This window comes from Homo sapiens, chromosome 11, assembly GCF_000001405.40.
Source record: "Homo sapiens chromosome 11, GRCh38.p14 Primary Assembly".
Classification (NCBI taxonomy): Eukaryota; Metazoa; Chordata; class Mammalia; order Primates; family Hominidae; genus Homo; species Homo sapiens.
The window spans coordinates 8979635-9005804 of NC_000011.10; the positions used below are offsets into that span (position 1 = coordinate 8979635).

At 43.9% G+C, this 26170-nt stretch overlaps 1 protein-coding gene and 1 long non-coding RNA gene across 5 annotated transcripts in view, besides 1 other annotated feature; one reads left to right on the forward strand and one right to left on the reverse strand.

Moving 5' to 3' along the window:
- Positions 1-941: 941 nt before the first annotated feature.
- On the reverse strand, positions 942-24871 carry NRIP3 (nuclear receptor interacting protein 3). Of its 4 annotated transcripts, none has more exons than XM_024448608.2 (7): positions 24715-24871; positions 8484-8648; positions 7914-7996; positions 6077-6216; positions 4438-4490; positions 4241-4335; positions 942-3926 (listed from the first exon to the last, which is right to left on the reverse strand). In XM_024448608.2, exons 2-7 carry the CDS (start codon positions 8616-8618, stop codon positions 3911-3913), a joined length of 522 nt encoding a protein of 173 aa, XP_024304376.1. In that variant the 5' UTR covers positions 8619-8648; positions 24715-24871; the 3' UTR covers positions 942-3910. The 4 variants fall into 4 exon arrangements, with proteins under 4 accessions (XP_024304376.1, NP_065696.1, XP_024304377.1 ...); NM_020645.3 differs by lacking the exon at positions 24715-24871 and adding an exon at positions 24128-24367; XM_024448609.2 differs by lacking the exon at positions 24715-24871 and adding an exon at positions 22281-22961.
- Positions 23544-24463: an enhancer, noted in NCBI's record as "H3K27ac-H3K4me1 hESC enhancer chr11:9024725-9025644 (GRCh37/hg19 assembly coordinates)". NCBI's record gives its function as "activates a minimal SCP1, AML or CMV promoter by ChIP-STARR-seq in naive H9 embryonic stem cells {active_cell/tissue: H9 hESC(naive)}" and the evidence as "EXISTENCE:reporter gene assay evidence [ECO:0000049][PMID:30033119]".
- NRIP3-DT (NRIP3 divergent transcript) overlaps positions 24454-26170 on the forward strand; it is a 63704-nt gene continuing 61987 nt past the window's right edge. The window contains exon 1 of the long non-coding RNA NR_183663.1: positions 24454-24909. This is a non-coding gene — a long non-coding RNA (NRIP3 divergent transcript). The remainder of the gene's footprint in view (positions 24910-26170) is intronic.

Below are 26170 nucleotides of genomic sequence, written 5' to 3' on the forward strand. Positions count from 1 at the left end.
ATTCAGTTATAAGGGCAAATATTTTTGGAGGCACAGTGTGGACGCGTAGTATGAACTGAATGAAAGAAATCGGTTTCGTCAAAAATAAACAGAGTTGAATTAGTTGTTAAAAAAAAAAAAAAAACATCAATACTTAAAAGGTAAGTTTCCATCATCTTGAAAATACATTTATTTGAGATGCCATTTGGACAATGACTTTAACTATATATTAAGGTTCATTCAACTCTTTCCCTTCCCAAACCTCTCCTATTTGTTTGAACTAAATATTTCCTTTTTTTTTTTTTTTTTTTGTTTGTTTGTTTGAGACAGGGTCTTGCCCTGTCGCCCAGGCTGGAGTACAGTGGCTCAATCATGGCTCACTGCAGCCTAGACCTCCAGGCTTCAAGTGATCCTCCTGCCTCAGTCTCTCAAGTAGCTGGGACTACAGGTGCATGCCACCACTCCCGGCTAATTAAAAAAAAAAATTGTAGAGAAGGGGGTCTTGCTATGTGGTCCAGGCTGGTCTTGAACTCGTGGGCTCAAGTAATCCTCCAGCCTCAGCCTTCCAGAGTGCTGGGATTACAGGTGTGAGCCACCGCGTCCAGCTATATTTCCTTTTCTAGAAGTGTTCTCTCGGACTGCTGACAGGTCCACCATAAAAGATTGTTCCCGTATATGAAGTTCTGAGTGACTACCATATGCCAACCACTCTATATGGATTTTCTTATTTGACACTGTGAGGTAAGCACTTTTATTACTTCTGTTTTATAGATTACAAAACCAAGCTCAGTGAGGTTTGCTAATGTGCTCGACATACAGTCAGTAAGAGACACCTGAAGGGCCAGTAGCAATGGAGGAACAGGAGACCCTAAGAGAAAAATGCTGATGCAATTAGACTTTACCTAGTCTCCCCCACCTTCCAGACTGGAGCCCTGACACAAAGACTTTGTCAGACAAGCACACAGAGGGGAAGATTTCACTTTATTGTTACATCAGTCTCACAAATGAACCCAACACAGCCAGAAACACTGAAAGGATAAAGTGCCAATGCAGAGAGGCCTGGCAACAGGAGGAGGGAGGAATCCAGTTCGTCTCCTCCACGTCCCCAGCCTGGCAATATATTTCTATTACACAAGAGTGAGGGCAGCTGACATACCAGGCAACCCATTGTATAGACACTTTGAGCTAAGAAATAGAAAATTGTACCAGGTAGGGTCTGTGCAGGGCAAGAAAATAGAAAGAAGTCAGAAAATGTTATTTTCCCGAGTCAGGCATGGAAATATCAAATGATAAAACCAATATTTTTCAAACTCTGTTATTTGAGATAGACATCTAATAAGGAATGAGACAGGTCTGGTGCTTCATGCTACTGCCTATTTTCAGAACTATGACACCCTTTCTCCCACACCCTCAATGTAAGGTACCAGAATTTTTTAGGACTCCTGGGAAAAACTGACCTCACCTTCTTACCTTCTCAGCCCCCAAAAATTAGACCCAGTGCTCCCTCATGCACATCAAGGAGATATGAGCTAGGAGAATAATCAACTTGGAGGCATTTAAAGAAAGTGAATGAAGGCCGGGTGCGGTGGCTCACGCCTGTAATCCCAGCACTTTGGGAGGCTGAGGTGGGCGGACCACAAGGTCAGGAGATCGAGACCATCCTAGCTAACACGGTGAAACCCGTCTCTACTAAAAATACAAAAAATTAGCCAGGCGTGGTGGCAGGTGCCTGTAGTCCCAGCTACTTGGGAGGCTGAGGCAGGAGAATGGCATGAACCCGGGAGGCGGAGCTTGCAGTGAACCGAGATCGTGCCACTGCACTCCAGCCTGGGCAACAGAGTGAGACTCTGTCTAAAAAAAAAAAAAAAAAAAGAATAAACCAGCAGGAACCTTCAACATGCCTCACTGTGGCTAAGAGTCAAGGCTCAGAGTAGAACTTTCAAGTAGGGAAGTAAAGGGTGAGCTTTACTTCAACTTAGTACCAGGATAAGAGGCAGGCCAAAGTATTGCCATGAAAGGTAGGGAAGGAGCATGGAGAGGCCTCAGTGGAAAGGTACAAATCCCCGCTAGGTAAGAGAATGGGGTGTTGCTAGAGGGAGTGCTGAAGGCTGGTAACCCCGGGATCACCCCTCATGAGCTTTAGATATAGCCTCCCAACCATGGCTGTGCTTAGCTTCCTATCTAGCTTCTTTAGGTAGAGGCTGATAGGAAGGGGGCCTAGGGAATGACCCCATGACAACTGACTGCAGTATGGCTGCCTAGTTGTTCAAATGATAGTCACCAAGTTCCTAGGCTTTAGGGAGCTTCTGTGAGGCCCAAATCATTCAGAGTTCCAAAGGGCTGTTCAGTAGGGGCAGTTGCTGAACACCAGACAAGGTAGTTGGTAGTACTTGGCAAAGTTCAAAGTGGGATCCTTTAAACAAACACTCTGAGAACTACTGCTATGACACAGGGTAGACTTGGGAATATCTTAAAGGGATACCCACAGCTAGCTATTTTTCTGACTTGTCCAAGCACTTCTATGACCAAACTGAAGGGGAGATTCCATTATAGACACCTGTGTGCCTAATGTGACACCCCAGTCAAAAAGCTTCAAGAAACCTTGTATTCTCCCCAACCTTTGACAGGGGTCAGGAAATACTGGGCAGTTATAAAAAGTTGTCCTTAACATTGCCGGCTCCTGCTCTGCCTCTTTCCTTGTATCAGGACAGAACTGAACATCTCAATTCCCTGCCTGAAAATGTCATTCCCTGCCTCCCAGAAAGGTTTATCTAGATAGGCCTCTCCACCAACTGATTCTACTCAGTCTACTCCCTTCTATTCTGGCCTTGCTCTTTTTTTCCCCCCATCTTTCTCTACTCCTGGTTTCCAGCTACTTCAGTCCTTGACAGACACATAATAGGATGGGCAGAAATGCTGATCGGATCTTGGGAGTAATCAACGTCTGACAGTGACACTCTGATTTACTTAAGCCTTCAATTCCATATCAGAGAGGGATTAATATTCCTCTGTCTGTGGTTCCTCCTTTCCTCCAAGAGGTTCACAGTGAGAAACCATTTCATTCATCTTTGTACGCTCGTTTTTAGGCACCAAGATGAGGGCCTAAATGTGACAGTTTGGGGCAAGGAACTTTTACTGGGCTTGGCACACAGGAGGGAGAGCTACCCAAATCATCCTAGCATCCATCTCCAGAGAATATTCCTCCCATGCTCTGCCTTTTTTTTTTTTTTTTTAACACATTCTCACCTCTTTGCCCTCCTGTTAAAGGCTTGAATACAAATGAGGCAGCATGGGAGTCTTGGCTTGGAAATCAGGTCTGCGTTCTTGGTCCCTTCAGTCACTGACCTAATATATGAACTTAGACAATTCACTTGCCTCTCTGGACCTTTAAATGAAAGAGTTAAACTGTAATGGATAATGTCCCTGGGCTCTTTCACATAATCCATACTTGAGAAATCAATGAATCAATTTGAAGAAACTCTAATTCTAAGACATAGGTATCCTGGCACCTGTTTGAAACAGCTGAAAGGAGGTAAAGGTCAGGTTCCTGTTTATTATACATTTAGCTATAGGAAAAGAAGCACATATATCTATGGAGACACAGAACCTGGCAGCCCCTATACTTGACTAATAAAAGCAAATTCCTGGAAGAAGCAGAGAAATAGGCCACAAGTGAGACTGGCAGTGTCAAAAAAGGTCTATAAGTTAAGTGATCAAAGTAGTAAAAAACAATGGCCATAACCAGACAAGATCTCTAAGCATAGACTATAGTCTAGAGAGGTCTGAATGGGAAGGAGCCCCTGGAGCTTCTATTAGATGGAAGGACTTGGTCCACAGCAAGTCACTACGGCATTTGGTTCAAACCCAGTTTTCTCTATCTGTCAACCCGGTGTGTATGCATGCACACGTGCAGACATGCTGCAGGCTGTAGTTATGCTTCTGAAGTGCTGAAATGAGAAATAAATATCAGGAGAAATAATGCCAAATTCAAAAAAAGTTAAGCTGAAGGCAAGTAAAATTTTGCTTTCAAAGCTAGTCATTTCCCTACCACTCTGTGTGGCATCACCATTGCTCATTCTGATGTGTGCACTACAGAGTTTTGTGGGGTGATGAACTCTGGGTGTGGGGAAGGGTGGATTTGTAGTATAATTGAAAGCCAAAGACAGGATACAACCCCATGTCCTGTCTGAGAACCACCACCACCCTGCTCGCAGCTGATGACAAATGGATGTGACTTGATCTGACCCATTTGGGCACTCACTTGTCTTCATTCAAAGAGACTGTCTCCACAAAAGGGATTTCTTCCTTGTCTGTCTTCCCCATGATCAGCCGGTGCTTATCCAAGTTTATGATGCACTGAAAACAGGTAACTTGTCAGTGATACCACTATGAGTTCCTGTGTAAGAGGATACCTGCCTCAGAGAGGAAGTATCAAGGGGTAAGTGGAGTCAATCTTACCTTCAGAGATCGGAGAGTCTGTAGACCAAGGGACAAGTTTTTCTCATTGTCATCTAATAAAAACAAAAAAATGATTAAGATTTAGCCATTTCCATGCTTGCTTAGAAGTTGGCCTAATCACTATTAGGTTCCATCCATCCATCCAATAACATCCAATAAACATATATTGAGCATGTGTTATTTTTTTTTTATTTTTTTTTTATTTTTTGAGATGGAGTTTCGCTCTTGTTGCCCAGGCTGGAGTGCAGTGGCGCAATCTCGGCTCACTGCAACCTCTGCCTCTCAGGTTCAAGCAATTCTCCTGCCTCAGCCTCTGGAGTAGCTGGGATTACCAGCACCCACCACCACGCTTGGCTAATTTGTGTATTTTTAGTAGAGACAGGGTTTTGCCATGTTGGCCAGGCTTCTCTCGAACTCCTGACCTCAGGAGATCCACCCGCCTCAGCCTCCCAAAGTGTTGGGATTACAGGCATGAGCCACCGCGCCTGGCCGAGCATGTGTTATATTAAGTAATTTTCCTAGATCATTAAACTTACAAGGCAATAGAGCCAAGATTCAAACCCAGGTCTTTTTTACTCTAAAGGACAAAGGCCTTTACACAAAAACCAAGAACTTGGAGTAGTCAAGAGTAAAATGTAGAGAAGTGTGGAAACTGGTGGGAAATTATCAAGGGATTTATGGCAAAGGAGTAAGTAAGTTGCTCTCTGTCTCTAACTAGTTCATGGAAAGCTCTCAAGGGACATTTTCACCTATACATAAAAATGTGTTTTCTTGCTCCTTTTTTTTTTCTTTCTTTTGAGACGGAGTTTCGCTCTTGTTGCCCAGGCTGGAGTGCAATGGCGCGATCTCTGCTCACTGCAAGCTCTGCCTCTCGGGTCCAAGCGATTCTCCTACCTCAGCCTCCCAAGTAGCTGGGATTAAAGGTATGCGCCACCAGTCCCGGCTAATTTTGTATTTTTAGTACAGACGGGGTTTCTCCATGTTGGTCAGGCTGGTCTCGAACTCCCAACCTCAGGTGATCTGCCCGCCTTGGCCCCCCAAAGTGCTGGGATTACAGGCGTGAGCCACTGCGCCCGGCCTCTTGCTCCTTGAATTTTTTTTTTTTTTTTTTTTTTTGAGACGGAGTCTTGTTCTGTCGCCCAGGCTGGAGTGCAGTGGCACGATCTCAGCTCACTGCAAGCTCCGCCTCCCAGGTTCACGCCATTCTCCTGCCTTAGCCTCCCGAGTAGCTGGGACTACAGGCGCCCACCACCACGCCTGGCTAATTTTTTGTATTTTTAGTAGAGATGGGGTTTCACCGTGTTAGCTAGGATGGTCTCGATCTCCTGACCTTGTGATCCGCCCGCCTCGGCCTCCCAAAGTGCTGGGATTACAGGCATGACCCACCGCACCCGGCCGAATTTTTTTTTTATCTGACCACATTTGTTTTACTGATTGATTCTCAACATGTCTTGAATGTAGCTCAGGGCCCATCTATTACTTTGGAGAGCAAAAATTGGGACAAGGTCTACAGTACAAAAAAATGGGAACCATTTTGAAAAAGTCAATATTTACAGGCATGAGATGACATGAGGTTTTGTTGGGGGTAGGGAGAGGGTTTCCGTTAGGGTCCATAGGTCCAGCCCTCAATTCTGCTTACCAACCACAGCTGCTGGGCAGTCCAGGCGGAGGGAGCCCAGTGTGATCACTAGGTGCTCAATCTGGCCCACTACTTTGAGATGCCGGGGTAGAGAAAGCTTTTCTCCTTCATGCTTGTGGGATTTGACATGCTCCTTGAGTCTGTACCAAAGAGGAAGATACCAAAATCCCCTTGACAGAGATTCCTGGTAGAATCCTGCAATGCCTACCTTCTGACCTACAATTGGAATTCTCCAGGGATCTCCTGGGATTAATCTACCGAAAAGTGCTAGCCATCCTACATATGTTGTTCCAGCACTTTGTCCTAAACATGCCAGGGAGATATAAAAACACTAAAGACTCATCTCCCGTTCTCAAAAACCTTACATCACTTATGTGTATTGGTGAAGAGAGGAGAACTGATATATTCAGAGAATCCTATTCTGTATCCTACTATCCCCACTATTGTGTGAGGCAATTGAGTTGACACATCCTTTTACCCATCTGTGAGTAACAGATACTAGAGAAGTCAGATTAATCCTAATTTTATAAGGTGCTTTGTTCAATGTGTAATTTTCTCATTGTCCTTTCTATTTCACTCTGTCTTCATCAGTCTGTCTTAGACTATAATGTTAATGGAGGCAAGTACTTATTTGGTAAGTGCACTGATATTCATATCAGCAAGGAATATCATGGAGAAAATCCTTGTTAATTTAACTTGTCTGTGCAGGGGAGGAAGGAAAGAAACAGTACCAAGGTTTCACATGTTACATAAGCTGATTGGAATAGCTAGCACCCGAGCTATTATGGGTTGGTGGATAAATACTTAATTATGAACTTTCTGTGCCAATACTTCTGCTTTCCTCTATTTCCTCTCTTTTGGTGTTATAGCCCATCCAAAAGAAAAATAATTGCAGTTTTACAGATGGTTATTAATTCCTCTGGAATCATGGCAGTCTGCTGCCTAATTATGCACCAGGACATTGTTAGTCTTTCTGGAACCATCATGTTGCACTATACTTCATATTTTTACCACACAAAAGCTCAGGGCTGGGTGCAGTGGCTCACGCCTGTAATGCTAGCACTTTGGGAGGCTGAAGCGGGCAGATTGCTTGAGCCCAGGAGTTGAAAACCATCCTGGGCAACATGGCAAAACCCCCTCTCTACAAAAAATACAAAAAATTAGCTAGGCATAGTGGCGCACACGTAGTCCCAGTTACTCGGGAGGCTGAGGCAGGAGGATCACTTGAGCCCAGGAGGCGGAGGTTGCAGTGAGCTGAGATTGCACCACTGCACTCCAGCCTGGGCAACACAGTGAGGCTCCGCCACACAAAACAAACAAAAGAAACTACTGGCTAATTACCCTTATGATGGCCCAGGCCCAGTAGCAGCTGCAGTCCTATTCTCAGTTCTGATGGATGTTTCTTGGGGACCTGCAATGCATCCTCCAGAAAGACTCTGAGTAAGCTAAGCCCCACCACATCCCTACTTTTACTCATCTGGATGGAGTATACCAACAGGACAGCTCCTTTTAATTTGCTATCTAGTGGATCAGGGCAGGGCACACAATGAGCCAGAGGTCTCAGGCTCTCTCATTCAAGTTTAGAGGTCTTTGCTCAAAACTTAATAGGGGGAGTTAACAGAAAGCCAAAGGTTTCCCTGCTCACTGATTTCTCCCACTTGCCGGATAACCCACTACTCCTCCCCTCTACTAAGGATTCTGGTTCCAGCTGAGATCTGAACTCTGCATACTTCTCTTTGAGCTGCTGTAGAGACCCTCACCATCTCTAACCATAAAATAGAGTCAAGCGAAGAGTACAGTCACATCTAAGTTCCACTCAGCACAAGTGCCTACTTACCCCAATCTGTCCACACAGGCCAAAGAGATGAGATTATATAGGCAGCCTGTGTCAACCAAGGCTTTCACATCCTTTCCAGCACACTGTGGGGAGGAAATGTACTGTTCAATAAGAGCCAGAGAAGCGAAAGGGAAAGGAGATGCAGACAGCAAGCAGCAGATGTCATATGAAAGGCAGGGTTGGAGAGCATCCTCCCAATTATGGGTTATAGTGTCCCATCTTTACCCACTGCTAAGTCTGCCTTTGACTGGCTCTTGTTCCTGCTGAATCCAGAGCTGACAGAAGATCCCCCAAAAACTCTAGGTGTTTCATGCTATACACCAAATAGCTCTTAATCTTTTTTAAAAAAATCACATACCCATTTGTAAATCTGATGAAAGCTTTGTTCCTTCTTCCCATAAAGATGCACATGCTTACAAAATGTTGCATACACTTCCAGTGTTGCATGGAGTGCCCCTTTTAAAACTCACTTATGAATTCCATGAGACCCACACTCTATAAAGTCAGGAGGAGAGGGCCCCACATCCTACTTTCCAGAAAACCCTGGAAAAGCTGTTCTCAGAACATTACCTGGCAAGAAACCAAAATCATGTCATCCTCCTCAGACTTCTTTAGCCCCTCAGACTTAGCCTGATTGAGTTTGTTCGTCTTAGAGGCCCAAGGGACACGGGGACCGCTTCGGAGCTTAGACAGGTTGGTTTCCATGAGGCGCCTCTGCAGAATATTATGAGGTTGCTTGAGGGATAGAAAGCAGAGACTTCTTAGTGACAGGCCACATCCCTCTTTCCCATTGTCCCCCAGGTGCCATAAAAATAATGAAGGAGCCTCCCATAACTGAGCTCTATCTTTGCTTCTTATTTATACTTCCTTCAAGTGAGGACTTCACTGGTATTGTCAGAGCAGGTACCATAAACCAATTTGCAGTAGGCCACCCTGAATGAATGAAAATGCAAGATATGACACTGGGAAATGTGGAGAGGGCCGATAAATATTCTAGGGCTTAAGAGAACTGAGAACCCTTGTGATTTGGACTAACCTAGGCCTGCTACCTTTCTTCCCCTTACAAGAGCATTTCAAGGGAAAAGTGGTCTTAGTCTAGAGTAAGTAATCTCTGTATCTTCCTAGGTGACAGCAAATCACTGCCTTATAGAAAGGGCAGCTCATTTTCATAGGCTGAAGAAACTTAGCTAACACAGGTATTCAGAAGCTCTGCCTACTTCTGTGTCAAGTCTCACTCTCTTATCTTTCAGATGCAGCCTGCAGAAGCCTTAGTGGCTGGCTGTCCTGTGGACTGAGTCACCCATGGGTGGATAGGGTGAAAAGACAGGAATTCACACTTGCTGAGCAAGCCTCTCAGCAGACACACTTTGAAACCTGAGCGAACACACAAGAATCATCGATGCTGGCATCCCCTGGTCCTCAAAACACTGGTTTCTCCTGCCCTATCTTGTCATCCATTTCCCTTCCCTTCAATGGCCCAAAAAGTGGAGGTATGAAGGGGAAAGACACTGACCAAGAAGCAGGGGACTTAATTAGACCTTATATGCATGCCAGGATGCCTAATGTTAAGAAGCAGAATGAGAAGTGTGAGTTTAAGTCTACACTTTGATAGAGCTTAGGAGAGTTCCTAGGGCAGATATAATCATGCTCCACTGTTTCTATTCAAAGTGGCCTCCAGAAAGTTTAAGATATCTCTTGAAAAGAAATCCTTTGACTGGAGAAATTTGTATACACAAATATCTTATGTCCCGGCTACAATACCATTTAAAATCCCTCAAAGGAGAGTGTTTAACCTAAAATCCCTCAAAGGAGAGTGTTTCACCCCAAGTTTCTATCTAACATATACCAGATGACACTTTCATTCTATGGGGAAGGAAGTCACTCTTAGAAGCCCAGAGCCTAGAACCTTTCAAGGGGAGGGGCTGGCACTGGAGGTCTTCAGTGTATCTGCCACCTTTCAGATTCCTAAGGAAGAATGCAGTCACAGCCATGACTCATTGTAACCCTAGTGAGATGAAGAAATGGATTCCCAAAATACACTGATTCTTGGCAAAGCACATTCTAAACTGGTATCTTTGGGAAAAGTGGAGGGAGAGGCACTTGTAAAGAAAATGAGAGCTTCTTAGCTTGACTAGGAGCTAGAGGAAGTGCTAACTCTGTCAGATTTTGTGATGCAACACTGGGATAATGCTTTGCTTCTCAAAAGAAATGAAAATGTTTCATTCGAATCTCTCTCACCAATAAGAATGGATTCCTAGCTCAAGCCATACTAAAGCAGGGTGTTTGTTTCTGTTACATCCATGCTTACCAGGACCAACTCAGATAAAACTGGACTTGTAGAAGTGAAGATTGGAAGGAGTTTCAAAGACCACCTAAACAAAGCCCTCTTACCTAAAGTTTGGGGATGTCTTCCTACATTGGTCTTGCTAAACACTTTATCTAGTTCTTAATCTTGCAAAGGAACCTAATCATTAGTGGACAGATGAGACAAACGAGGGAAGTTCTGAAATCATTATGCTTGAATTCATCCCTTTTCTGTATTTTCCTCTTTCTACTGGATTCTTCTTCCAAAAGTTATAAAACATACTAAAAGTTCCTAGATATTGGGGAGCAAACTCCTCCACAAAATGTCAGATCCTGCTGCCTTTACTCTACAGCCTCCTTTAATCACCCTCCTTATCTGGAATGGTCTTTTTAAAAAAAGACTAAACCATGACATCTATTTTCTGATATCCCATATTTTCTTCACTGAGATCACTTCTTATCCCATACCAATAATTACCTCTGATTTCCAAATACAATAGACATTTTCAGCCTTAATTTTACCAGACTTTTCTAGTGCATTTGGCCCTGCTGACTATTCCTTTACTTGTTCTTTAGTAACCAAAAAAGGTTCAAACACATGCTCAATGTAAAATACTTAAGTATCACTGAAATATATAAAATAAAAAGCAAAGGCCAGGCACGGTGGCTCACACCTGTAATCCCAACACTTTGGAAGGCCGAGGCAGGCGGATCTCTTGAGCTCAGGAGTTCGAGACCAGCCTGTCCAACATGGCAAAACCCTGTCTCTACTAAAAGAAAAAATACAAAAATTGGCCAGGCATGGTGGCATGCACCTTTAATCCCAGCTACTAGAGAGGGTGAGACAGGAGAATTGCTTGAACCCAGGAGGCCGAGGTTGCAGTGAGCCTAGATCGCACCACTGCACTCCAGCCTGGGCAACAGAGCAAGACTTTATCTCAAAACAATAAATAAATGAACAAATACATAAATAAATAAAATTAAAAGCAAAAACCTCCCCAATCTCTCAAGCCCTTCTCAGTCCCACTCCCAACAAATAATGACCATTAAATTTAGAAATATATCTTTCAAAAAATATTAATACATTTATAAACATATAAAAGACTAATCATACTATAAAACTGTTCTGAAATTTTCTATTTTCATTTAATATATAAAAGCATTTTCTGTCCAGGTGCGGTGGCTCACACCTGTAATCCCAGCACTTTGGGAGGCCAAGGCGGGTGGATCACGAGGTCAGGAGATGGAGACCATTCTGGCTAACACAGTGAAACCCCGTCTCTACTAAAAATACAAAAAATTAGCCAGGTGTGGTGGTGGGCGCCTGTAGTCCCAGCTACTTGGGAGGCTGAGGCAGGAGAATGGCATGAACCCGGGAGGCAGAGCTTGCATTGAGCCGAGATCGCGCCACTGCACTCCAGCCCAGGCAACAGAGCAAGACTCCGTCTCAAAACAAAAAGGCATTTTCTATGTCAATATACATAATTCTTTTCATTCTCTTTGATAATTAAAAAGTACTCATAATATAGTTCAGGAATAGAAAATTTACAGCCAACAAACCCATATGAACCTCAGAGATGTTTTTCTCTGGTCATTTTATTATACCTACATATACTATATCTTAAGTAACAATATAGCTGCATATTTACCTCTGCTTTCAGCCAAAATTTCACTAAAATGACAGTAAAAGAATAAGTCCTAAACCCACAAAACAAAAAGAACAATAAAGAAGAAAAAAAAGATGTTGACAAAATTCTGGAATCTGAATAGCAGGCAGAAAAGCAGCAATTAATGACCTGGACTAGAGAAAGCTAAGTGCTTTATACCATTTCACTTCACAGAGAGCTGAAGCAGCAGAGGCTGCCAGTTGCTCTTTAAAATCCTCTTTAAAATTCTCCTCTTCCTCATGAGAAGATACCTAGACTGTTTCCTAGCCCTCTTTGTAGTTAGGCATAGCCATATGACTGAGTTCTACAGAATAGAATGTGAGTGGAAGTGACATGCACCATTTCTATGCCTGGCCCATAAAAATCTCCTGTGCATACTTCTCTATATTCTTTTCCTCTTCTGACTGGCTGGAGTGGAGATGACCACTATGGTTACCTTCTCAGAGGCCACATGTTGAAGACAGAAGAGCTACTGTTAGTTTGAGTCTCTAAAGGACTATATGGAAGAGGCTGTCTTGTTGACTTTTCCACTAATACTGTTACTTAAGAAAAAATAAACTATTTTGTTTGAGCTGTTATATATTTGCATCTAGCTGTAAAAGCAGTTGTACTACTCAAACTAAAATTAAAAGGCTGAGGAGTTACAGGTATCAGAACCTCTACAGTTGAAGGATGCAATTAGGGTTGGAAATAGACTAAAGTCTTCATGAGACTCACTTGATCTGGAGAACTGAGGAGAATGCCAAAAGTTTACTCTTCTTGTAAGAGTAAATAAAAAGACTGATTAGTTGATAGCTTGGCTAGGCTTTCAGATTTCGAGAACAGCTGAAGGGTAGTGTGGGTTATCATACTAAGCCAGAACTGAAGGACATGAGTTTAAAGATTGAAAGGGCCCACATGGAGCCTACCATAATGAAGGAAAAAAGATCCACATCAAGATTTCACATCACTGTGAAATTTTGGAATAGCATTGATGACAAAGATTCCACAAGATTCCAAAGAGAAAAAGATGATCAAAATACAAAGGATTAGGAATCAGAATAGTAGAGGACTATTCAACAGTAACAGTCAAAGCTAAAAGACAATAGAATAATGCCTTCAAAAATCTGGGGCCGGGCGCAGTGGCTCACGTCTGTAATCCCAGCACTTTGGGAGGCTGAGGTGGGCGGATCACGAGATCAGGAGTTCGAGACCAGCCTGGCCAAGCCAACATGGTGAAATCCCATCTCTACTAAAAATACAAAAATTAGCCGGGCGTGGTGGTGGGTGCCTGTTATCCCAGCTACTCAGGAGGCTGAGGCAGGAGAATCACTGGAACTCACCGTGGAGGTGGCATTGAGCTGAGATTGTGCCACTGCACTCCAGCCTGGGTGACACAGCGAGACTCCGTCTCAAAAAAAAAAAAAATTTGATAGTACATAATTTGTAAACCTAGTCAAACTATCAATCAAGACTCAAGAAAGTTATTTCCTGTGTCTTCTCAAGAAGCTACTGAAAGATATGCATGCTTCACCAAAGCAAGGGAAACAAACAACAAGGAGAAAAACATGAGATCTAAGAATGAAAGAATCCAATAGAGAGGCAAAGGCAGTTCTAAGAATGGTGTTGAAGGAAAAGTCCAGGATACAGGTTGCCTACAGGCCTTAAAAGCAGCCAGTCCAAAATGAAATGAAAAGATAGGGGGCTCTAGGAAGGATCCTCCAAGAAAACAATGGACTTGCTAGACCATCTATAGTTTTAAGTTACTTGAAGGAGAATTAAATTTTACATGGAAACTTTTTTTAAACACCAAGGAAATTATTAATTTTGAGAAAAATGTTTTTATGAGAAAAGAAATAGTACATTTGACTCAGCTGTAAATAACAAGAACATAGTCATAATAATGTAAGCAATAAATGCTTATTTGACCCAAAATAGTTATTTAACAGAATGTTAGTATAATAGAAGAGTGAATATGATGGGAAGGTGTAAGAGAATTAAGTTTTTATCCATTATAATAGAAAATCAGGGCTGGGTGCGGTGGCTTACACCTGTAATCCCAGCACTTTGGGAGGCCAAGGCGGGCGGATTGCTTGAGCCCAGGAGTTCAAGACCAGACTGGGCAACATGGTGAAATTCTGCCTCTACAAAAAATACAAAAATTAGCCAGGCATGGTAGTGCACGCCTGTAGCCCCAGCTACCTGGGAGGCTGAGGTAGGAGACTAATTTGAGCCTAGAAGGTGGAGGTGGTAGTGAGCCAAGATCACACCACTGCACTCCAGCCTGGGCAACAAAGCGAGACCCTGCCTCAAAAAAAAAAAAAAAAAAAAAGTAAGACTAGATAGATAGTGATGAAAACAGTTAATTAAGAAATAGCAGTATCACCATTTACTTGGAGATATGGAGATCCCTAACACAAGCAACAGCTTTAAATTTTTAAAAGTTTTAAATTATTTACATTTTTAAAAATTTTAAATAAAAATATACCCCATGTAGCAGAAAAGAGTTCAGCCACAAGAAAAGCCAACTTACCGTAGTTTAAATGGAGATTTATTTTTCTCACATAACAAGAAGTCTAGACATAGAAGCTGCTGATACTAACTCAGCAGCTTAACAACTTCAGGGCTATTGACTCTGTTAATTCTCTTGGACATTCCTTCATGGTCACAGATGAATACCCCAGCTCCAGGCATTATATCCACATTCAAGAAATGAGGAAGGAGGAGGGACTACACTAACACCATCAATTGCTTTTATCAGAAAAGGAAAAGCTTTCCCAGAAGTTCCTTCAGCAGTTTTTTGCCCATATCTTCTTGGTCAGAACTCATATGGCCACTCCTAGCTCTAACAGACATTGGGAGAGAATTTAGCTTTTATAATCTCTATAGAGGAGTTCAGCATAAAGAAAAGGGCTAAGGATGGGTGATAATTTAGCCAACTAACAGTGTCTGCCAGATGCAAAAACTAAAGCATGTGCACACACACAATGTAACTTAGGCAGGTATAATGCCAGGTTATCTTATAACCAGCTTAGCATCTATTTTCTTATGTCTGCCCTACTTTCTGCATTTTAAAACAGCACATCCTTGACAGACAAGTTTGTGGTATAAGCATACCTTAACTATTTACTAATGGGCATTTAGATTATTTTCATATGTTTGCCATTAGAAACAATGCTGCAATAAACTCAACATTTCATTTATCCTGAAACGCTCCTCCACTGGCCTCTAAAACCACCTGTTTATTCTGTTCCTGTCTCTCTCACTGGTTCCTTTGCCTATGTTCATTTCTTAAATGTTAGTGTTCCTCATCGCTCTATCTTTGGTCCTTTGTCACTCTACATATACTCCCAGGGCAATTTTATCTGTTTTCATTGCATAAATTACTACCTTTATGATGATGACTCTATCTCATGTCCAGATGTCACCTCAATTCTAGACCCATAGATCCAACTGCCTTTTTCAACTTCTCTACTTAGATATTCCACAGGCACTTCAAATGTAAATTATCCCACTGATATTTTCTATCAAACTTGCGCATTCTCCCTTATTCCCTATCTCGGTGGGTGAAATTCTGCCTCCTCTTATTTTCTTCTTCATTTACGTTACTGCTAAGCCCAATCTCCTAACATTACTTTCATGGTCCTCTTCCCCCACAGTGGTTCTCTTGCTAGTTGTAACAAAGAAAAATCCTCAATTTACCATTCAAGACCTTCCACTACCATTCATCCTCCTTCCCAATCTCATCTTTTTAATTACTACTCCATGAAGGCTTTCTGCTTTCAGCAAATTACCACTTGTCACATATTAGCTTGGGCAAATCACTAACCTCTATGAGCATTACTTTTCTCCAAACCTTACTCTCTTGATCAGTCATAAAGGAGGTTTGAACTCCAAAGACTTGTTCAGTTTTAACATATTGGGTTAATTCCTTTCCAACAACCTTGGTAAGTGGCACCACCATACATCCATTCTTGATTTTTTCATTTCCTGACCTCCCATCAAAAGTGATATTGTACTCTGAAACACACCTGGAATTGATCTGCTTCTCCCCATCTTTACTACCTCCAATCTAATCCAAACCACTATAATTTCTTATCTGTACTGTCACAGCCTCCTAACTTGCATTCTGCCTCTTCTTTTACCCTTCTCCAGTCCATTCTTTGCATGGAAACCAGAGTAAGCTTTTTAAAACATAAGTCAGGTAATACAGTACTTTACTCAAAACCCTTCAATGGCTTCCCATTGTTCTTCAGAAAAAATCCAAACTTTTTACCCTTCTCTATACAGCTCTGTACCAACTGGCCCTTGCCTCTCCTTCCATATACAAACCACTCTCCCTTTATTCATTCAGATTCAACACCATCCACACTCACTTCCTTGCTCAAAATTTCTTTCCCATTCCAATCCCTTTGCACTGGCTGTCCCCTCTGCCTGAAATGTTCTTCCCCTAACATTTCTAATAGTTAGGTCCCTCTTATCTTCCAGGTCTCTGTTCAAATGTCATTTCCTCAGAGATACCTTCCTTGACCATACAACTTAAAGTAGGTAGGTCACCTTTTTAGTTACTAACAAATCTCACTATTTCTTTCATAGTAATTATCAATATGAAATTATTTTGTGTATTTACTTGTTTATATTTCACCCCTGCCCTACCAGCATGTTAACTGCACAAGGGCAGGGACCATGACTGTCTTGATTTCAGCTATATCCTCAGCTCTTGACATAGTACTGAAAGAAATCTCTACCCCTTCTTTCTTCAAAAAGCCTTTTTTTCCTTTTTTTTTTTTTTTTTTTTTTTTGAGATGGAGTCTCACTCTGTCTCCCAGGCTGGAGTGCAGTGGCGCAATCTTGGCTTGCTGAAATCTCCACCTCCTGGGTTCAAGCAATTCTCTCACCTCAGCCTCTCCAGTAGCTGGACTACAGGTGCGTAGCAGCACACCCAGCTAATTTTTGCCTTTTTAGTGGAGATGAGGTTTCACCATGTTGGCCGGGCTGGTCTCAAACTCCTGACCTCAGGTGATCCACTTGCCTTGGCCTCCCAAAGTGCTGGGATTACAGGTGTGGGCCATCACACCCAGCCAAAAAGCCTTTCTTGATTAATATCATTGAATTCTTTCTTTCAGAATCCCTTCAATACTTGTATATTAAAGAATTTCTACTATTTGTATCCCCAGTCTATGACTGTTTTATAAATATGGTTAAGTGGTTCTCATTTGTTTATTGACATATTGGCTTTCCAAGGGCCGTCCTGTCTTTCAAGATACACAGTACTGACCAGGTGCACTGGCTCTTGCCTATAATCCCAGCACTTTGGGAGGCTGAGGCAGGACTGCTTGAGGCCAGGACTTTGAGACCAACCTAGCAACACAGTGAAATTGTGTCTCTACAAAAACAATTTTTTTTAATTAAAAATTTTAAAAATTTAAAAATTAGCTGGGCATGATGGCACACGCCTGTAGTCCCAGCTATTTGGGAGCTGAGGTGGGAGGATCACTTGAAGCCAGGAGTTCAAGGCTGCAGTGAGCTATGATCACGACACTGCACTTTAGCCTGGGTGACAGAGTGAGACTCTGTCTCAAAAAAAGAAAAAAGGAGGCCAGGCACAGTGGCTCATGCCTGTAATCCCAACACTTTGGGAGGCCGAGGCAGGTGGAGCACGAAGTCAGGAGATCAAGACCATCCTGGCCAATGTGGTGAAACCCTGTCTCTACTAAAAATACAAAAATTAGCCAGGTGTGGTGGTGGGTGTCTGTAATCCCAGCTACTGGGGAGGCTGAGGCAGGAGAATCGCTTGAACCCGGGAGGCGGATCGCACCACTGCACTCCAGCCTGGTGAGAGAGCGAGACTCCGTCTCAAAAAAAAAAAAAAAAAAAAAAAGAAAGAAAAAAGGATACACAGTACTAATTTGCTAGATGGATGCTGCAGATACCCTGGTGGCCATTTAGACATAATTTTTAAGTCGTCTTTCTGACGTGGATTCTGCTTTATGCTAAACTTCAACAAGGCAGCTACTAACCTAAGCAGTCCCTGCTTCTCTACTCTTCCTGAAATGTGGCTGCTAGAGGCATCTAAACTCTAACCAGGCAAGTTCAAATATTCTGCCTCCATCGCCATCAAGAGCTTCTAAAGGAAATGAACACTATGGGAAGTGCTGTATTCTGGGTGAAAATAGCTACAGTTCCTCAATCTGGCACCCACACTGCTTAAACATCTCTTCTAACCAAACTATAGAGTTTGAAGAAAAGAGAGGTGAGAGGAATCAGACTATAGTGCAGGATACCATAGAATCATAATTTGAGCAAGAACTTTAAAGCCACTCTCTCAATCCCTTTACCCAAGCTACCCAGACAGAAACTAATGGATTTCTGTGGTCCACAGAATGAACCAAACTAGAAAACAGAGGAAATGGTAGGGGTCTGCTTTCTTTGTAGCATTTATTCCCAAGAGAGAAATCCAAGGTCACTAGCTAGCAACAGAGCCACAACTAGAGCTTAGTTAGAACAAGGGTCATGGATACCATTCACTTTTTCTTTTACCCCAAAAGGGCCTGAAATCATTCTACTCCATTTTAGTCCTCATATACAGTCTATAGATAAACATGGACTCCTGAGTCAAGCCCAGTATACATGTCTCTATCTCTGACCTTGGAAATCCAAAAGGTCACCAATATTTGTGCCTTCTCTTTGCTTACTAGCTGAGTATATAACACGTGACCCATTCTACCCCATGGAAACACAGATTGTTCTTCAGTTTGCAGTTGCTCAAAAACATAAGGCAGGCTGTTACACTGCCCCAGGCCTTCTGTGTTCTATTTCTTTGCCTTTGCTCATGACCCAACAAACAACCTATTCCTCATTATTATCTGTTTTGTGGATTAGTCTGAGATAATGGTTTCTCAGCTGCTCACGGAGGCTGCATTTTGTTAGAAAGGATTCACAAATGGGCAAGGAATTAGACCAGATAACCTGTAAAATTCTTCCTACTCTGAGGTTCTACAAAGCACACTCTAGAGGCAGCCTTCTCTCCATACCATCTCACAGTCAGCTGGCTCAAAGGGAATGGTAAAGGTGTAAATAGATGCCAGTCTCCATCCTTATCATCACATCAGGTTAGAGAAATCACTTCTTCCGCTGGACTCCTCTGGCACATCTGACTATTACATCTTGGCAACTAGCACAGGCTTTCTGGTGGTGTTACTTATCTTCTTCTAGAATTGTCTATTCAGCATCTACATTTAAGTAACTAATTGGGACCCTAAACTTGTTCAAAAATCAAACTCTTCATTTTTTTTTTTTTTTTTTTTTTTTTTTGAGACAGAGTCTCGCTCTGTCGTCCAGGCTGGAGTGCATTGGCACGATCTCGGCTCACTGCAAGCTCCGCCTCCTGGGTTCACACCATTCTCCTGCCTCAGCCTCCCGAGTTTCCCGAGTAGCTGGGACTACAGGTGCCCGCCACCAGGCCTGGCTAATTTTTTGTATTTTTTAGTAGAGATGGGGTTTCACCGTGTTTGCCAGGATGGTCTTGATCTCCTAACCTCGTGACCTGCCCGCCTCGGCCTCCCAAACTGCTGGGATTACAGGCATGAGCCAGCGCGCCCAGCCCGCAAACTCTTCATTCTTATTTGCCATCCTCAACCTGCTCCCCGCTGCAAGTCTTATCCACTTCAGCAAGTGATAATTCTGTTCTTCCAATGGCTAAGTTAAAAACCTCATGGTCTTCCTTGATTACTCTTTCACTCTTAATCCAATGCATCAATTACATTTGTCAGCTCTGCCTTCAACATATATCCAGAACCTGATCCTTCCTCCTCTCCTTCACAGCTTATCACACTGCTCTGAGGTACCATCAACTCTCACTTCAATTACTGTATAATAGCTTCCTAATCAGTCTTCCTGCTTCATCTACTCTTGCCCCTTTACAGTGTAACCCACATAGTAGCCTGAGTAGTCTTTTTGTAAAATAAGTCGTATGTATCATATCACCCCTCTGCTCAAAATATTCCACTCGTTTCCAATCTCAGGTTAAAACCCAAATGCATAGGTATGCGCTGAAAAGAGTGGAAAATAAAAAAAATAATAATTTTAAAAAACCACCCAAATGCCTGCACAATGGCCTCCTACTACATCTCTGATGTTATCTTCTATCACCCTCCCCCTTGCTCATTTTGATCTAGCTACACTGGTCCTCTTACAGTTCTTCAGTTATATCAAGCACAGTGACACCTCAGTCCTTTGCACTTGCTGTTCCTTCTGCCTAGAACACTCTTCCCTGAGAAACTTTGCTCCTTAATTCCCTTCAGTATCTCCTCAAATGTAATCTTATCAGATAGGCCTTGCCGGACAACCCTGTACAAAATAGCCAGACTCCACCCCACCCCAGTCACTGCCTTCCCTATTCCCCTTACCCTGATTTATTTTCTCCATAGAAAATATTTATTATTATTACCTTATATACATTTACTTAATTTTACTTTCTGCCTCCTTCCTCCCACAAGAATGAAAGTTCCGTCAAGGCAGGAACTCAGTTTTGGTTCACTATTATATCTCCAAAGCTTAAATTATTGCATGACATGTGTAGTAGGTACTCAATAAATATTTGTATATTAAATTAACTGATCTGTCCTTCCCTGCCCCCAACCTATAAACCTGTTTATAATGAGAAACTTTTCTGTCTTCCTATTTGTGTCTTAGCCCCTAGACTGTGTCCTGAACACAGCAAGTATTCAAATAATGTTTGCTATTACGAGGATGCAATCACGACTCTGCAAATCTTCAGTTTGTGCCAGATCTTGGTGTTATACTGGTATTTCACGCTTCTCTTCTAAGCCTCTGAAATTCTCCAGCCCATGATTTGTGGTGATATGGATAGCTAATCTATAGGGCACACCACACAGACCTGCTCTAATAGACAGAGATTCTGTTCAGGTATTTTATGGTAAGTTTGCTTTACTGTGTTCAACCATCTTTCCCCCAGCATCATTCCTAATTCTAGTCAGTTTTGAAAAAGCATTTAGCTATGATCAGAAGCAATCATATGTAGGAAAGAAAAACTCTATTGCCAGACAAGTAAGAATATGGCCTAATGCCTACAGGTAAGTATAATATCATTTAGGAAAGACAGCATATTACCACATAACATGACTGTTTTTAAAAATTAAAAAGTCCTTAGCACAATGAGAAAAACTTTTATGAACCTGGTAGCTAAAACAAGATAAATTACAATAGGCAAATTTCCAAGAACGGAGATGTTTTTCTCCAGCTTCACTGAGTTAAAAAAAAAAATCAGGGCTGGGTGTGGTAGCTCATGTTTGTAATCCCAGCACTTTGGGAGGCTAAAGTGGGCAGATCGCTTGAGACCAGGAGTTCAAGACCAGCCTGGGCAATATGGCAAAATCCCATCTCTACAAAAAATACAAAAGTTAGATTGGTGTTGTGGTGTGCACCTGTAATCCTAGCTACTCAGGAGGTTGAGGTGGGAGGATCTCTTGAGCCTGCGAGGTCGAGGCTGCAGTAAGATGTGACTGCAGCTGCATTCCAGCCTGGGCAATAGAGTGAGAACCCGTCTCTTAAAAAAAAAATCAAATATAATATTACTCACTCATATCTCTGGTTTTAGTTCTTAATCTAATACAGAATGAACAATACAAGATAAAAGGATAAAAGCAAAAGGGGCAGACAAAAATATAATTTCCACAGAAGACTTTGTATCAGCCAACTCCAGATACACAGGAATAGGCAAAGGCACTTTCCTGGGGCCAAGAGAACATGACCCCCTTTGATTTCCTATGGTTGCCTTCTGCCAGTCCTAAAAGAGCTGGCAGGCTGGTATCAAGCAGTGAACATTACAGAAACAGCATAGTAAGAGGTAGATAATTCAGAAATCCCAGCGGTATATTCAAATATAGGTTGCTGGTATGAGGAAAAACAACCTACAATCTTCACAAACCCAAAAGTCAATAACAACTAATTTCTCCTCTCTCTTCCTTATCTCCCTCTGATGCTATCCTCTCCCTTTTCTTGGACTCCTTCTATCGAGATTATACTATAAACTACTCCAAGTAAGAACTATTCAATTAATTTTAACATCCTCCAAATTTCCCTTGCAGTGAGAGAAAATTGAGTCAACACTGGTCTATCCCACATGTATTTATAAAGTAAAAGAATAATAATGTACTTCTAAGGTCACTTCTAAGATTGTACTAAGGCTGCAACAACAGTTCCAAGAGAGTTTAAGCATGCTGCCTCACCCCAGCGCTTGCGGCTCTCCTAGCCCTACCTCGGTCTGCCTTGGTTTCTGTAACCTGGCTGTTCTGTGCAATCACTTGTACATTATAGGTGTGAAAACAGTGAGAGAGGGAAATCAACTCCATGACGGTGGGGCACAGAAAGCGTGAACCATGATTCAGAGCCTTACAGTCAACTGTCATGTGTATGTGTCATACTCAAGGCAATATCCTGCTTCTTGAGGCTCCTTCCTCTTTGCAGCCTGCTGCCTGTGCTGTATGCTATCAGCCCTTTGTGACTCAACTGAGACAGACTAGAGTCAGAAAAGCGGATGGAATTCTTACACAGCATGAAGTAGTATAAGAAATCCTAGGCAGAAGGAAGTTCAGGTAGCTCTCAGGGCTAGGAAACTCCTCGACAACGAGGGACAACCAAATCCAGCATTTAAAAACTCTGTATTTTAATTCTTCTCTTAATATAATACTTCCTTCTTTATTGATTGCTGAGCATTCTAGGAACTAGGATAGGATTATTTGGCCTGAAGGAAAGAATACTTCTCGAACCTGATTTGTTAAATGAATCGAGATTGCTTTAAAGTGAAAGAAGGGAAAAGAGAGTTATCTCTTTTGCAGGAGCACATTTCAATCACTTATCACTCTGGGTTAGCATAAATCAGATAAACTATCCTGTGGGTTGTGCAAAAAGCAAAACAAAACAAAAAAACACAACTTGTAAAAAAAACAGAGCAAGATAACTGAAGTAGACAAACTCTGCACAGAAGTAACTAATGGCAGGGAGGAGAAAAATTTTTGTATATTATATTATACTGTGTATAATATAATGTACCTGTGTATCATTAGAGCTGTTAAATTAAAAAAAAAAAAAAAAAAAAAAGGAAATGGATGCAGAAGCTCTGCCCTCCTGGGGCCAGAAATGGCAATTTCAGTGAACTAGGGCCGACAACCACATCCAAAATTAAATATTTCAAAAGCTTAAAATAAAAAATACTAGAAAAATTATGCAGAGCACCTATTTCATTTGTTAAAAGACATTTAATTAGTGTTTCACATATTACCACCCAAATGAATAAAGCGATTGTGAAATTCAAGAAAACAATCAAACTACAAGAAAACTCCAGATAAAACTACAAAGTTAAACATAAACTTGGCCCAGGACCACTACAGTGGCTGAGGGATGACAAATACAGTTCTTTATATTGGTAACCCTTAGCCATCCATCCCATTCTATAGAAAGAGGACAGTACCATCTTTGACCCCAGGCCCCCTGTCCTGAGGTGCTTCTACTTAATGCCAGGAACAACTGTGCTAGAAAAAAAGACTGCACCCACCCCAGCTCCAGATGCACACATTAGCTGGTCGGTGAGATGCAGCAGCCTGGCTTCCTCCCTCTACCCACTCCTTGGGGGCGGGGCTGGAAGAGGAGAATGATGAAGAGATGTTGGGGGTTCAGGAAACCTTCACATTTGGCCCCTTTTCTCTCTCCCCACTCAGGATGGAAGGTCAAAGTTAGGACCAAAACTAGAGAAGTGGGTTTTGCATAGGGGGACAATGGATTCAACAGAAGTCCTCTGGATCTGGCAACTGTCAAAAAACCCTCTTTCCACTTCTTTCCCCCTCACGGAAAGCCATTAGGAATCACCTCTGTCTGGGTCATAGGAACAGCCACACAGCATAGGAGGCACAAGCCCCGTGAACAAAATTCGGTATTAAGAATAAGGAAAAAGAAAGAAGACCCGAGGGCAAGAGGGCAGGGCAGGACCTCTTCTTTCTACTGGAGAAGAGACATCCAGGGAGGAGGCACAGCCGAGGGGAGCGCAAGCTAGAAAAGCTACGACGGAATCCCCACCGAAACCGCAGCAGGGGTACTGGAAGGGGAGGAATCCGCGACGCAGCGACCGCGAGCCAAGGGCAGCGGCGGGCCGGGCCGTGACTCAGTGAAAGCCGCAACGGCCGGGCCTCGGAAAACGGCGGGCGCGAAGCCGCCGGGGCCGGGGCGAGAACGGCGGCGGGGGCTCACCATGTCCTTGGACGAGCCCAGCTTCTTGAGGCCGTCCAGGGGCAGCAGGTCGGCGGAGTCCTTGTGGATGAACTGCACCGCCTGCTTCATCCGGCGCTGCTGTCGCAGTGACGCCGCCTCCCGCATGTCGGTCTCCTTGCGGCCGCCCTCAGTGAGGAGCCCTGAGTAAAACATCGCTGAGGCGCCGGCGGCCCGGTAGCCCACAGCCCCCCGGCAGCCTCAGCCTCGAGCTCCTCCAGCGCCGCAAGGGCCCCGAGCCGCGCCTTTTATAGCCGAGCGTGACGTCGCGGGGAGCAGCCAGTGCGCGCGCGGGGGGCGGGGCCGGCACAGAGTCCACGCCCCGCGCGGCTCCCTCGCGTCCCGCGTCCCGCGTCCCGCGTCCCCTGCTCACCCGGTGGCAAAGCCGGCGAGGAGGCGGCGGCGCTGGTGGGGACTGACCCGGCAGTCCGAGAATCCACCGCGGCCTTTTCACCCAACCGCCCCCTCCTGCGTGGGGGCCCCGCATCCCCTGGACTGGCGTGGGCTCTGGGGCCCGATGCCCTGGCAGCCCCGGCCATCTCTGCCGCTGGCCGCGGGTACCTGCTCACCTGTCCACGCCGTGGCCGACCCGGGGATCACCGACAGCCGGGCCATGCCTCGAGTCCCGCCGCCCGCGCCGCTGCTCGGCTTCTCAGAAACGCACCTCCACGCCGCCAGCCGGGGCTCCAGGGTCCACCGCCCGGGCCCGGAGGACTGGCGACTCCCTCCGAGGTTGGGAGCGCTCCGGATTTCTCCAACTTCAGGTCGGTCCCCACCCACCGGGCCACGTGACTGGGGAGGGGGCAGCCGGTGCAGGCGTGTGGAGGAGGCTTTCGGGACCTCCTCCCCCGGGCACCCTCTGCCTGCAGCCCGGCACCCGGCCCGCGTTTCCGAGCCGGGGGAGCAGGTGCAGTCGGAAGCCCGCGGGTGGGCGTGGGGCGGGGGAGTGGCGAGGGTCCCCCGCCTCCGCGGGAGCGCACGCGGCTGCGAGCCCTACACCTGCTCTCCGACCAAAGAAGCACCTGTTTTTCTCAATAAGTGCTAGGGCTTACCATCTAAAGGATCGTTCACCATCCCTCCAGCGTCCTTAGTAGGAGCGATTGGAACCCGTTTTTCTTCCTGAATAATCCATACTTTTAAGCCATTCTAATCGGGCCTTCAGGCATCCTGGATTCTGGTCTCGACATTGTGATTTGACACAAATCACGTTTTCACTCTGGAAACCACAACTACTCCCTCCACCCCATCACGCAGGAGCAGACCTGGATAAGAAATATGTGCACTCTGCAAAGAACCAATGATAAAAGTAACAATATCGACGCTTACTGAGCCTTTACTATGTGCCAGGTACTAGACTAGACACTTAAAATGCAGTATCTCATTGGATCCTGGCAACAGCTTGTAAGATAGTATTCTCATCACCCCCATTTTACAGGCAAATACCTGATACCTTCTGTCTGGCCTCCTGAATGCTCCTTGGTTCCATTCCAATACGTTGTTCACTGTGCTGCCAGAGTAATCTTCTCAAACGATAAGTGTGATCATCTCACTTCCCTGCTAAGAGCACCTCAAAAGGCTTCCTATTGCTCTTAGGAGAAACCCACATTCTTGCATGGTCTGCCTAGACCCTGCATATTCACTCTGTACTTCAGCCTCATGGGCCTTCTTCCAGTTCCTTCCAGTCACCTGTTGCCAAATGGCCTGCCTTTGACTGTCCTGTTCCCTCTGTGTGCAGTGCCCCCTCCTACCCTCTTCAGGAAACTCCTATGCTTCTTCCAGACCTCAGCTCCATTATCATTTCTTTAGGAAAGCCTTCTCTGACCTTCCAGAGAGAGTGAAGTCTCTCTAATTATATACTATCTATCTCTTGGGCATTTGACACTTTCTGTGGGGGTAGGGGTAGGGGGGTACTGGTTGTTGGATTAATATTTGTCTCCTCCACTGATTGGAACCTCCAGGAAGGTGACTGAACCCATTTTTTGCTTAGCATTGATGCCCTAATATGCAGAGGGTTCTCAAATACTA

Excerpts from the sequence above, each read along its gene's own strand:
- NRIP3 (NM_020645.3), bottom strand. The coding sequence starts at position 24,301 with ATGTTTTACTCAGGGCTCCTCACTGAGGGCGGCCGCAAGGAGACCGAC. Across the intron at positions 8,649-24,127 it reads TGGGCTCGTCCAAGGACATG|CAACCTCATAATATTCTGCA; the intron begins GTGAGCCCCCGC and ends CTATCCCTCAAG. Across the intron at positions 4,491-6,076 it reads CTGCCCAGCAGCTGTGGTTG|ATGACAATGAGAAAAACTTG; the intron begins GTAAGCAGAATT and ends TGTTTTTATTAG.